The sequence below is a fragment of the Homo sapiens genome, chromosome 3, assembly GCF_000001405.40.
Source record: "Homo sapiens chromosome 3, GRCh38.p14 Primary Assembly".
NCBI lineage: Eukaryota > Metazoa > Chordata > Mammalia > Primates > Hominidae > Homo > Homo sapiens.
In genome coordinates this window covers 83,490,458-83,504,694 of record NC_000003.12, presented here as the reverse complement: position 1 = coordinate 83,504,694, position 14,237 = coordinate 83,490,458, and the positions used below count along the sequence as shown (strand labels likewise).

General features: G+C 37.0%; 2 annotated features.

Moving 5' to 3' along the window:
* Positions 3,628-4,127: an enhancer, noted in NCBI's record as "H3K27ac hESC enhancer chr3:83549719-83550218 (GRCh37/hg19 assembly coordinates)". NCBI's record gives its function as "activates a minimal SCP1, AML or CMV promoter by ChIP-STARR-seq in primed H9 embryonic stem cells {active_cell/tissue: H9 hESC(primed)}" and the evidence as "EXISTENCE:reporter gene assay evidence [ECO:0000049][PMID:30033119]".
* Positions 4,128-4,629: an enhancer, noted in NCBI's record as "H3K27ac hESC enhancer chr3:83549217-83549718 (GRCh37/hg19 assembly coordinates)". NCBI's record gives its function as "activates a minimal SCP1, AML or CMV promoter by ChIP-STARR-seq in primed H9 embryonic stem cells {active_cell/tissue: H9 hESC(primed)}" and the evidence as "EXISTENCE:reporter gene assay evidence [ECO:0000049][PMID:30033119]".

Sequence of the window (14,237 nt, the reverse complement as noted above, 5' to 3'; positions counted from 1 at the left end):
CCACAGCCCCTACAATTCTCCAGTGTGGCCAGCCAGTTAGAAAGCCTGATGGAACTTGGGAGATGATGGTGGACTCTCAGGAACTGAATAAAGTAACACCCCATTTGCATGCAACTGTACCATTGATTATGGATTTGATGGACCATTTGGTGACAAAACTAGGAGAGTCCCATTATGTAGTGGACTTGGCCAGTGCATTTTTCTCCATGGACATGGCTCCAGAGAGCCAGGAACAGTTCACCTTCACATAGGATGGGAGGCAATGGACTTTTAAAGTGTTGCTGCAGGGTCGTGTGTGTAGCCCCACCATATGTCATAGTCTAGTTGTCCCAGATTTAGTCACCTGGCAATGTCCGGAAGGGGTCCGCCTATTCCATTGTATAGATAGTATTACATTAACCTCTGATTCTCTTCCAGATTTAGAAGCTTCAGTGCACCTCTTGTGGCAACATTGGGCCATCAATGAATCCAAACTCCAAGGGCCTGGATTATCTGCCAAATTCTTGGGAGTTATCTGGTCAGTTAAGACAAAGGCCATCCCAGAGGCTATCATTGATAAGATTTAGGGATATCCCCGGCCCACCACGGTGAAGCAGCTGCAAACTTCTGTGGGCCTCCTGGAATATTGGCAGCCATTTTTGCCCCATTTAGCTCAAATGATAAAACCGTTGAATTGATTAATAAAGAAGGGAGCTGCCTGAGATTGGGATGATGCGGCTGAGTCCACCTTCCTGGCAGCCAAGGGGGCTGTTCAGCAGGCACAAGCCCTACGAGTAGTTGACCAGGGGCACTTGTTTGAGCTGGGTGTGCATGTGACCACAGATGGTTTGGGTTGGGGCCTGTGGCAGTGCACGGAGAACTTGAGAATGCCAGTAGGCTTTTGGTCCCAACTATGGAAGGGAGCTGAGCTCTGGCAGTCCTTGATAGAGAAACAGCTAACAGTTGCATATGTTGCCCTTCAGGTTTGTGAGAGTGCAACAGGATGGGCTGCAGTCACTTACTTGATAGCAGGATGGGGGCATTCATGGGTAACGACCCCTCCCCAAAGGGATGGTGCAGACATTCACTTTGGCAAAGTGGGGCACCTACTTGAACAAGTGGAGTATGCTAAGTACAAGCTGCTTAGCAGCCAAGTTGGAAGAGGTCTTGAGACCTGTAGTCCTAATGCAAGATAAGGCCATGTGACCTGAGGCACCTCTAGAACCTGAGCCTTTACTGTTTAAGGAAGGGCATCTCCCCATTCCCGGTGGGGCATGGTACACAGATGGGTCTAGCCAAGGTACTGCTCTGGCCTGGACCACTGTTGCAGTCCAACCTGGTACTGACATCATATGGTTTAAAAATGGGTGTGGACAGAGTAGTCAATGGGCTGACTTCAGAGCAGTATGATCTTCAAGGAGGTGATACCTATGGTAATCTGTACCGATAGTTGAGTAGCCTATCAGGGCTTAACCTTGGTGGTTAACTACCTGGAAAATAAATAAGTAGCTAGTCAGCCACCAACCCATTTGGGGCCAAGTCATGTGGCAAGACCTCTGGGAAATGGGTTATCAGAAAGAAGTAACTATATATCATGTGTCATGACATATGCCTTTGCCACTCCTGGCAATGATGAGGCAGACACCTTGGTCAAGGTCCAATGGTTAGAGTTGGCACCTACATGAGATGGGACCTTGTAGCTACACTGAAAACTGGGACATGCAGTGGGTAAACTGATGCAACAGGTCGAGAAGCATTAGGGACTGTCCCTGCCCATGCAAGACATTTGGGAGGCTTGACAGAAATGCCCGGCACGTGCTCAGGCATACCGTAAATGGAGCAGCTGCCCAGCGTTACACAACAAGTAACAATAGGCTGTGTGCCTTTGACTAAATGGCAAGTAGAATACATTAGGCCACTGCCAAAGTCACAAGGGTATATGCATATGCTAACAGCTATGGACATGGCCACATGCCTGTTGTTCGCCCTCCCTTGCAGGGTAGCCCACCAACAGTGCACCATCCAGGCACTGCACACCTATGTGCCCTGTATGGTCACCCACTGGTCACTGTGAGTGACAGGGGAACACATTTCACCAGACAACAGGTACAACAATGGGAACAACAAATGACATAAAGTCGAGATTCCATGTGCCAAACAACCTGCAAGCTGTGGGTATGATTGGGCAATAGAATGGGCTTTTGAAGAATGAGTTACGCTTGCATGTCACACCCCCATCTTTGCAAGACTGGAGTCCCAGTTTTGATCTGATGCTCCAAGCCTTGAATAAATGGCCACAGAAAGGCAGCCTGGCCCTGGTGGAGTCCTTGTTACACTAGGCCACCACCCCCATTGAGTTGCAGATACACACTAAGGATGACCTCCTTCGACCAGGTATGTGGACAAATGGTAACCTGCTGTTGCCTGCCCCAACACCCCTAAGGGCAGGGGAACAGAAAACCTGGCTGTGGGCACGGGCCCTCCAGGCCCCCCACTGCTGGTGGCTGGCCATCAGAGTTCCCTGTGGGGAGGGCCTACAGTATGCCTTGCATGTCATTCCTTGAGTGTTCAATACATGGCTCCTGTAGTTAACTGTAGGGGAATGGCCAGGGAAGGAACGCTCCTCCGGGGGACATATTTACTATCTGTGTGGTGTATTATGAGCTCCCCTGGGACTTTGGCAGGGATACGGAACCCAAAAACCATGGGGAGCTGAAAACGTGTGATATCATTGCCAAGGGGTGCATTGTTATCCAGGGATGAACAGTTAGCCTGAATTTTGCTTGGGGGACGTGATTTACCATGTTAGTACCTGTGCCTGCTCTGTCACTTCAACCGTAGGTTAACATGCTCTAACTGCATTGTGGACTGGGCCCACACCTACACTGAGGTCATCAATATTTTCAACTGTTGTATCTGCACCCCACCTTCCAGCAGCAGCTGTGGATGGCTTGCCTTGGCACATACATTCAGCATTTGCAGAGTGCTGGAAATGGCTGGAGACTTGGGGTCCCATAGCCAATTCCTGGAATGTAACATGCAAGCTCTGGAAAAAAGATGCTTCAAGACCCATGGCACATCTGCCCCCTGGCTGGCTCATAGTGTTTATGTCAGGTGGGGCTGGCTAGTGGGAAAACATATAGTATGCCCAGACCAGGTGCCATAGTGCATAGAGCAACACTGGGGTAACACCACTGTGGGATGAATTCCCATCACGGCCTGTGTAAATGTAACACATGTCACCACACTGAAGGTATGGTGGAACAAGTGTCCCCACCAAGATTGGGCCCCAGTGAATTTTGTGCCCCTTCTTGGGAGTTCATGGGTCTGTGGGGACACAGGGTGACCTTACCTACCAGCAGACAGGACTGTACATTGTATCTTGGGGTGGCCTTACATACTTGCCACTGTTCTCCCACATTGCCCAGACACCCACAAAACTGGAAGGTGGTACACTATCAGTTGTTGCTAGTACAGTGAGCCCTCTGGTGGTTCTACTCCTTGGCAATGACTATCCCTGAAGTGGGTGTCATAACTATAGAAGCACAAGTTACTGCTCTTGTAGATCACACCGCTCGGGCTCTGAATCACACTTGACTGGCCCTCCTCCTGTTAATGGATGAGGTTGATCAGATCAGAAAGGTGGTGTTGCAAAACCAATGGCCTTAGGCATAATAACTGCTGCCCAAGGAGGCTCCTGTGCCCTTTTAGGAACACAATGTTGTACCTTTATCTCTGACAATCAGCAGAACATAACAGCAGCCCTGCAAGGGGTCTCATGGGAGATTAAGGTGGTCGAGAGTCTTATTGACAACCCCCTGCAGAGATGGTGGGCATCCCTAGACTCTGGACTACGCTGAGCCCTATAGTCACAAGTAGCATAGCTGGGATCCTAGTAGTAAGCTCTGCTCTCTGTATAGTTAGTTGTTGTGGGTTATGGAATCAGGGCTCTGCTCTATGGGCATGAGTCGCTGCCTGGATGAGGCCCTCAGCCCAGGGGATGGAGTGTAAGGGAAATGGCTGCACTTTGGTCTGGAGTAAGCTGAGGAGCTCTTTCACCATAACATGACTCAGCAGGTTTGGAGGGCAGACACACAACCCCGCGCATTATGTAACCATGCCATGTGAGGTGCATTAGGTGATCACCCACGTGAGCTTGTGCTTGGCTCAGAGCCACTATTGTCTGTAAAGGTATAATTATCCTGCTAGTGCTGTACATATGGCTCACTCTATGCCCAGAGAAAGAGTAAAGCCACGTGGAAACTGTCTACGATTCCTCGAGTGTTTTTGCAGCTACCTGCCACTCACCCGCCAACTCCTCTTGGACCTCAGAACCTGACAGGCACACATGGAGATGTGTCACCCAGGTCCCCCTTTAAGGGTATTCTGTCCATCTGTAGGAAGTATAGTCAGTAGACAGCCTCTAGCTGTCAATTATTACTTAAGTGTGGACCTCAGCTGCATAGATTTGCTTCTCCTGAGGTCATACTCTTTCTAGGAAGACTTCATGTTATGGCTGAGCCATATGTATAGAGGCCTGGCCATTTTGTCCTGAAAATAGGCAACTCTGAAAGATAATGTTAGCTCCAGAACTCATTGCTGGGTTGGCCGTGGCATTATCAGGCCCATATTATATTCTTCTTCTGCCTAATCCTGCCTCCTCTTCACAGGATTTAATATAAATCCTGGACCTCAAATATTTTAACTTATTTTCTGAAGAACTCAATATGTGATACAGAGTCCTTGATATTTCATTGATAAAAGTTTTGGTCAGTGCAACAGGCAAACTACTTAAACCAGCAGAAGTACAAACTGGGGATCTAGAATGGGTTGTTTAGGAAAACGATAAGAAATGTCAGTTACAGCTTGAGCAGTATCAAGAGAGCTATAGATTATCCCATTAACACTCCTCTTTTGCTGTTTGATTTTTTTTCCTACAATATAAAAAATGTAAACGTGAAATTACTTGTATATCTATTCTGTCACATCATTATTAATGAGAAAGAAAAGCTCAAGAAAGAATTATTGGGTCCACTTGAAAGGTATTTATAATGAATAAGGGGCTATTCACTATGCCTGAGCATGAATTTTTATGGTTTCTAAATATTTAGTTTTATTTTGAAGTACACTTATTAAAATCTATTTTTTAACAAGTTAATGTAATTTGAATGGCTATAGGAACTAGATTTCTAAAACGGTGCCCAAAGTAATTTGTAACACTATAGAAAAGCAGGAGGATATTAAAGGCTTAGAAAATTAACAGAAATCTTGATAGCAGTGTTCTTGTGGAGTATTCTCAAACTAGGTAAGGTATTTCCAACTTTATGCTAAGAAATAATTTCTAATTTTTAAAAAGCTCTGTTTGAAAAGAACAAAAGAGATTTAACATCTGCATTTGTTTCTGAAAAGAAAATACATTTAGTAATTTCTTAGTGCAACACATGTTTGAAAGAAAACATTGATTATCTTTCAAGGATGTTATACTTCAAATGGCATGACCTTTAGCCTGGGAACCTGAAATGATCACTCTTTTGAGCAGAAGGATGTTGATATTATGCTCTCTCACTGGGAGGCATATTAACCAGATTGATTAACCCACATATTCTTTCATTATTTATGCATGTATGTATTCAAGCATTGGTCCAACAATTGTTTGCATATCACTGACTATGATTTGGGCACTGGTGTAGATGTTGGAAATAAATTGGTGAACAAAAATAAACAAAATACAATCATTTTGTTCCTGTTTTAAGAAAAACCTTGTTTTGTTTTGTTAATTTATTAATAAAACAAATATTTTATTATGTGATTCATAGGAAAAACCATCTAATACTGCAATAGAGGAGTTCTGTGTATTCAATGCCTCCTTACCCAAACATTCCAATATAAGTTCCTGATCTTATCACTATGAATCATGAAATTATTTCATACTATAATGATCCAGGAGAATGAAACCAGAAAATATCAGGTGGCAATGAAAATGCATTTGTGTATTGAGTGTGCAGCCAGGACAGTAAATCCAGACACCAATGTTGCCTGGTGGAAGGAAAAAACATCTAAAAGACAAAGGCAGAAAGCAAGAACATGGAAGATGGAGTTTTAATCTCTGTGCTTTGATGTTTAAAATGTTTTTGTATAATCGCCATATCCATGCTGCTTCCCTTTCCTGAATGTGGTCAGAAATGTGACTTACTTCTAACCAATAATATGACAAAAGTAATGAGATACAACTTCTATGATAAAGTTACCTAATATAAGATTTCATCTTGCTAGCAGACTCTTTCTAGTCTCCCTATCTTTACTTATTGTCAAAAAGGCAGCTGCTATGAATTCTACTATTACAAAGATTGAATGCTGCCAACAGTCACAAAATGGGAGGAGCAGATGCTTTCCAAGTCAACCTTGCAGATGAGAAGCAGTTATTGCCAACATCTAGATTGCGGCCTTGTCAGACCTTCTGCAGGAATACAGCTAAGCCATACCTGAACTTGTGACTCTCAGGAAATGTAAGGTAGCGGACTTATAGTATTTTAGTCTGTTAATTGTGTGGTGATATATTACACAGTATAGAAAACTAATACTACATATGTGATGATCTCTGAGTTCTCACAGCATTAACTAAAAAAAAAAAAAAAAAGCAGAGAAAAGAAAGAATACACAAGGCCTATTTCATTCACTGTGATCTGAAATATAAAGAATGAGTCTTAATGAGAATCAAGAAAGTCCTACTCTTGAAGCTAGTGGTATGCCCAGGTCAGCAATATCTCATCAATATAAACCTAATTGTGTCCTTCAAATGCCTAAATGGTCTTCATTTGGTATCTACAAAAAAAAATCAGAAAATTTAATGAAACCCTGCATGGAAACTTCACCCTACTTTCTCAAGCACCTTTTGTGTTTTAGTTCCTCTGCTTTCAAGTGTGATAAAAGAAACCATACTCACCTCTTCATGAGATTTCTCTCTTCTAACATCTGGAATTTGGTTCTCTACACTTTGCCTAATAAACTTTTACTCATTTTTTAATAACTTTATAACCAACCATTCCTTTCTCATAGATACTTTTTGTGATATCTAGGACTGGGGCAAATCCCTTATTTTAACTCTTATTACATCATATATCTCTACGATATCCCTATATGATATTTTGCTCTGTAAAATTTGTGTCTTGTCACGTATCACAGAGGGTGAGAAAGTCAGTGAAGAAGCTTGAAAACAAAAACAGAGGTAAGGGTTTTGAAGAAACTAAGTATCCAAGTATGATTTATTATATTGGCTAAATATTAATTAATTATTAAGCACCATATAATGACAGGGAGACTGCTTTTAAAAAGTGAAAAGTACATCTAAAATCTCTGGGAGATTTAGAAGACATGAACTTACAATTATTTCTGATGGCAATTCAAATACATGAATGTTTCACAATCCATTTAATGTGGCAATCAATATAGGCATGTATCCAGAAAAAAAAGCTCTTATATAAATCATTCAGAATATTTACAGTAGTTTTAACATATGCCAAGAATATTAAACTCAAAAAAATGTAAAACACATATTACAATAGTTTGGTTTGCTTCTAGCACAGTAAACTTGCATCCTTTAAAAGATATCATTTTTAGACAGTTGCAGATAGAATGATTTGATGCAGTATCTTTTCTATGAGATTTGTGTTTTTCTTTTTTTAAAAAGTATTTGAAAATTCATCTCTCCTTCATTTCACAAATATTCTTCATTCATGTACTATTTTCCCATAATTACGTTGTCAAATTTAATTTGGGATACATTTTTTCACAATAGTAGTATACCAACTGTGGAGAGTGATAAGTGTTAACAAAATACATTGACAATTTTGACCCGAGAATACCAACACTGACAAATCCTATTTTTCTGAACAATGTATTCATTTTATAAAACCCATTGACTAGCTACTATTTGCTATCTTTCTATACTAGAAAGAGTAGCTGTTCCAACAGCTGTGCCTTAAATAATTCTCTTTCCTTTTATATTCAGCTTAGTCTGAAGTGTATGGTTCTTCCTGACTTGATCTCAAAATATGCTGAAACAGCAGAAGTCAGCATTTATTGAACGTTTCCTGATCTCATGGTGCAATAAAAGCATTCTTTTTGAGAAGCCCACTGTATGCATTATTTATTTTTATGCTACTTTCCCAGGAAAAATTTAAACATTTAAATATTTACATGTATAACTATAAATGTTTAAGTATCAATTATATATCCTTAACTATATGTATAATTGATAAACTTAAACATTTATAATTTTATATATATTTTCAAAAATGCACAATACTAACACAACAAATGAAAAACAAATTTCGGAAAATTAATATGAAGAGAACATGTACTGAGAAAAAACATGGAGGAAAAATAAGATAAAAATAAAAAAGTAATCTTGAAGAAAAGAATACACATTGTTTTGTTTTTATTCTACAATATGTGTTACTTTAGCCCAAAATTTAGCAGTTTAGCCAAGAGCAACCATATTAATATTCTTAGACAATCTGTAAACTAAAATTCCAAATGATCAGCATTTTGATATAATGTTCCACAATCTTGCCAGAGCTTTCTAATACTTCTGTTTAGATTCATAGTTTCCACATTTAAAATATATTTGTGACATTTTTCAAAGCCTACAATCAGGTTATACATGTATACATGTATACTACTATAGACATATAGTACATATATATGTATACTTCTATATATATAGTACATGTATACTACTATATATAGTAGTAATTAATCATATATATGTATATATGTATATGTATATGATATACACGTATATATATACATAAATATGTAGATATACATATATACATATGTGTAGATATACATATATACATATATATGTAGATATACATATATGTAGATATACATATGTAGATCTACATATGTACGTAGATATGTAGATATACATAGATACGTAGATATGTAGATCTACATATGTACGTAGATATGTAGATATACATAGATACGTAGATATGTAGATATACGTATACACATACATGTAGATATACATATATATCTATATGCATATATATGTACGTATATACATATATACACAGATATGTGTATATACATATACATAGATATGTGTATATACATATATACATATCTGTATATATACACACATATATACATATACATGTATATCATATACATATACAATATACATATATGATAAATTACCACTATATGTATATAGTAGTATACATGGGTACTACTAGATATATATATCTAGATAGGTATATATATATATAGTAGTATATGTGAGATATATATATATCACAGTTTCTTTACCCACTCGTTGATTGATGGGCGTTTGGGTTGGTACCACGATTTTGCAATTACAAATCGTGCCGCTATAAACATGTGTGTGCGAGTGTCTTTTGTATAACGACTTATTTTCCTCCGAGTAGGTACCCCGTAGTGGGATTGCTGGATCAAATGGTAGTTCTACTTTTAGTTATTTAAGGAATCTCCACGCTGTTTTCAATAGTGGTTGTACTAGTTTACATTCCCACCAGCAGTGTAGAAGTGTTCCATGATCACTGCATCCATGCCAACATCTACTGTTTTTTAACTTTTTGATTATGGCCATTCTTGCAGAAGTAAGGTGGTATTGCATTGTGGTTTTGGTTTGCATTTTCCTGATCATTAGTTATGTTGAGCATTTTTTAAATATGTTTCTTGGCCATTTGTATATCTTTATATCCTCTTTTGAGGATTGCCTATTCATGTCCTTAGCCCACATTTTGATGAGATTTTGTTTGTTTATTTTTGCTGATTTGAGTTTGTTGTAGATGCTGGATATTCATCCTTTGTCAGATGTATAGATTGTGAAGACTTTTTCCCACTCTGTGAGTTGTCTGTTGACCCTGCTGACTGTTCCTTTTTCTGTGCAGAAGCTCTTTAGTTTAATTAAGTCCCAGCTATTTATCTTTGTTTTTATTTCATTTGCTTTTGGGTTCTTGGTCATGAAACTCTGCCTAAGCCAATGTCCAGAAGGGTTTTTCCAATGTTATCTTATATTTTTATAGTTTCAGGTCTTAGATTTAAGTCCTTAATCCATCTTGAGTTCATTTTTGTATAAGGTGAGAGATGAGGATCCAGTTTCATTCTCCCACATGTGGCTAGCCAATTATCCCAACACCATTTGTTGAAAATGGTGTACTTTCCCCATTTTATGCTTTTGTTTGCTTTGTTGAAGATCAGTTGGCTGTAAGTATTTGGGTTTATTTCTGGGTTCTCTGTTCTCTTCCATTGGTCCATGTGCCTGTTTTTATACTAGTACCGTGCTGTTTTGGTGACTATGGCCTTATAGTATAATTTGAAATCAGTTAATGTGATGCCTCCAGATTTGTTCTTTTTGCTTAGTTTTGTTTTGGCTATGCAGGACCTTTTTTGGTTCCATATGAATTTAAAAAAATTTTTTTTCTAATTCTGTGAAGAATTGTGGTGGTATTTTGATAGGGATTGTGTTGAATTTGTAGATTGCTTTTGGCAGTATGCTCATTTTCACAATATTTATTCTACCCATTCATGAGCATGGAATGTTTTTCCCTTTGTTTGTGTCATCTATGATTTATTTCAGTAGCGTTTTGTAGTTTTCCATGTAGAAGTCTTTATATTCCTCGCTTAGGTATATACCTAAGTATATTTTATTTTTTTGTAGCTATTGTAAAGGGGTTTGAGTTCTTGATTTGATTCTTCACTTGGTTGCTGTTGGTGTACAGAAGAGCTACTGATTTGAGTACATTAATCTTGTATCCACAAACTTTGCTGAATTATTTTATCAGTTCTAGGAGCTTTCTGGAAGAGTTTTCAGGGTTTTCGAGGTAAACAATCATATTATCAGCAAACAGTGACAGTTTTACTTCCTCTTTAACAATATGAATTCCCTTTATTTCTTTCTCTTTAATAGAGTGCTTTTTTATGTAACCATGCAGATTCTTAATTATTGTGCCAAATTTCTTAGACTACTTATATTGGCAATATGAATTTTTCCCAGAAAATTTGTGTATTTTGCTTTTCAATAACTAACTTCATCTTTAAACAATTTCACATTGAGTTTTGTCAAAACAGTAATCTAGATAGGTATGTAATTTTAATTATTGCTATAGTCAATTTAATTTTAATATTTTATCATTTAATCATTTGAGAGCAAAAAATATATATATAAAGTAAACATTTTTTATTTGAAGTATTAGATTCAACATGATAAAAAAACGTTTTTTTAATAAGCTTATATTTTAGAATACCCATCAAAAGCTGTAAATAATAGTATGTAATGAAGATGGCCTGGGTTTTCATAAACATTCATTAATATAATGTTATTTGATATTGGCTGTAAATAATTTATATAAGAAAAAATTTAGAAAAATGTTGTTACAATCTAAAAGGTGGAACTGAGTCAGATATCTAAGTTTGCCAAGTATTAAAAAGTAGATTACATCACTATTAGAAGAAAATATTGAAACTTTAACTTCAGATAAATGCATGAAAACATTCTGTGTATTCTGTCACTCCTCTTTCATAAACTCTGTCTACAAAGTGGCAATTACCCTCCTGATTAAGAAACCTACCTCCGTGTTCTTCATTCTACACTAAACTTCTTCATTAAAAATCTTGTACTTACAATTATGCCTTCCTTTTTTTTTGCATCATCAATTATCCCCTGCACAATATTATTTTCTCCTTATTTTTCAAAATTTCGAGAATCCAATATCTACTTCTACCACCATAATCATCTGCATATAAGTTGAGCTTATTCTTAGCTCAAATTTATGTCTTTCTTTGACATAAATTATTTTATTTTTCCAATTTTCATCATAATTTAAGTTGATCACTGTTATTCCTTCCATATTTTTAATTCTTTTAATTCTATACCACAATAAATTCTACAAAATTTACAGCTGCATTTAAATTCATTTTTTTTCACTTTTAAACCAATAAACAAAGGGGAAGAATAGCTGAATAGAATATAGAGTTTCCTAAGTTTCCCTGCACAGCAGGGTTTGCAGGTGTGGTAGTGCCCATAAGTGGGGCTCTGCAAGTGGAGGCGAGTGATTGAAATTTGTAATGCAACAATTAAACATTGTACCAGGTTGGTAATTAACAATGTACTCAATAAAAGTTTAATAATGAAGAATATTCAAATCTATAATTTTTCTTATTGTTCAACACTATTCAATGAATTATTGTTTGAGAGTAAAGCAGGGAAGATTTTTTTCATGGGTAGGAGGAAAACAACTGAAAAATAATAATATTCCTTTGCAAAGCTGACTTTTCTGACTAATCTGGCTACATTATTAATAGATTGTTACATAGTTAAATGGCTTTTGTGCATGAGATGGTATGCTCATGATTATTTTTACATTTTTTATTGGTGAATGCATTAATATTATGAGTTAATTTTTTTTGCCAAGTCTAATCATTAGACAAGTTTTTGTAATATAGTTTCCATTATATAGAATGGGGCTATGGTATCTCAGAATTTATTATGGAGTTTAATTTCTGAAACATGAGTCTTTCCCAGAACAGTGCCTGATCTAGTGTGCTGTATTTATGATTTATTGATCTGATCTGTTCCTTTTTTATTCTTTGTTATAATTAGAAGTGTCATCTAGGCTCTCCTAGGGAGTAGAGTTAGCTTTCTTCCAGGTATTGGATTTTTTCATCATTTTTTGAAATAAATATTGGACCCTTTATTGTGTTATTGCATGATTATTGTCACTATTAGCCTCTTTCTACCTGGATAATAATATGTGGCCACCAAGGCCAATGAACACTGCAGGTCTTAGCATATTTTTATTAAAGAGATTGCCAGGTTTACTCATATTTTACACTATTTCTCTTCTCTGCTTGCAAAGACTAAAATATGTAGATATATTTAAGTATGCTTCAGTCATTTAGTGTCTTGAAGTTCTTGTAAGCATACAACAAAATGTCCCAGATACATCTAATTTCATTTATGCCTCAAGTTAGAAAAATATTCTTCAAAGATTAGCTTTAGCAGTATACAAATTCACATGGTACAATTGTTTGTTTAAATTACTGTATTCCTAGTTCATACTAAGAGCAAATTAATGCTTGCCAATTTAAGTAATAATAATAGTCATGGACAAAAAAAATATACACAATGTATTTCTTCTTAGAGTTCTTTTGTATTATGTACTATCTGAATTGTTCTCATTGCCACCTCTGCCTCCCAGGTTCAAACAGTTCTCATGCCTCAGCTTCCCAAATAGTTGGGATTACAGACATGCATCACCACACCTGGCTAATTTTTGCATTTTCAGTAGAGAGAAGATTTCACCATGTTGGCCAGGCTGGTCTCAAACTTCTGACATCAAGTGATCTGCCCACTTTGGCCTCCCAAAGTGCTGAATTACAGGAGTGAACCACCGTGTCTGGCCTCTGAATATTGCTTTTAAAACATATCACATTTAAATCTCAAGACAAGCAAGGAAGCAGGTAGGAAAAGGAGCTCAGGAACTGGTTGAAAAAAATTATCCAAGCTAAATAATGAAGAAACATCACAATATTTATTGAGCAGAGTTTCTGATATTCCTACCACTTTAATAAAAGCTCAAGTTAGAAATTACATGTTTCAATTTTAAATGATCTTTTAAAAATAAATTCAGAAGCCTACATTAGTTGTATATCTTTACAAGATTGGAGAAGCTGATTCTTTTCAGGCTCAAAATCAATTATAGTTTGATATTGGAAGAATGCTAACTTATACCAAATATCTGCATGCGGTTTCCCTTTGTAGGTCTACAGAACACACCCTAACTAAATTATCATCACTTCATCAATGAAATTATTACATTTTCCTGTATATATCTTTTATATTTTTAAAAATATGAACTACTATTGGTAACTTTGGTTAACATAAATACTCATACACACATACAAAATGTTTAAAATTTTATTCATGTGGAGAAGAAAAACTTATACCTAGAAGCAAAAACCAACAAAGAAAAATAAGGAAAGATAAAATGTAACATATTAACTATAACTCTGGGAGAAAAAAAATGGCAAAATAATTAGTTGTGATGAAATATATATCCTATAGGTTGTACCTAATCATTTAACTTAGAACAGTCTTAGAGAAATGGTATCAAGCCAAAGCCAATAAACAAAATAGCAGGGGGAAAGAGAAAGAAAGAACAGGAGGAAGAGAACTGGAACTGACTTTTTGCGTAAAGCAAGAGGAAAGGTGCAGATAATGAACA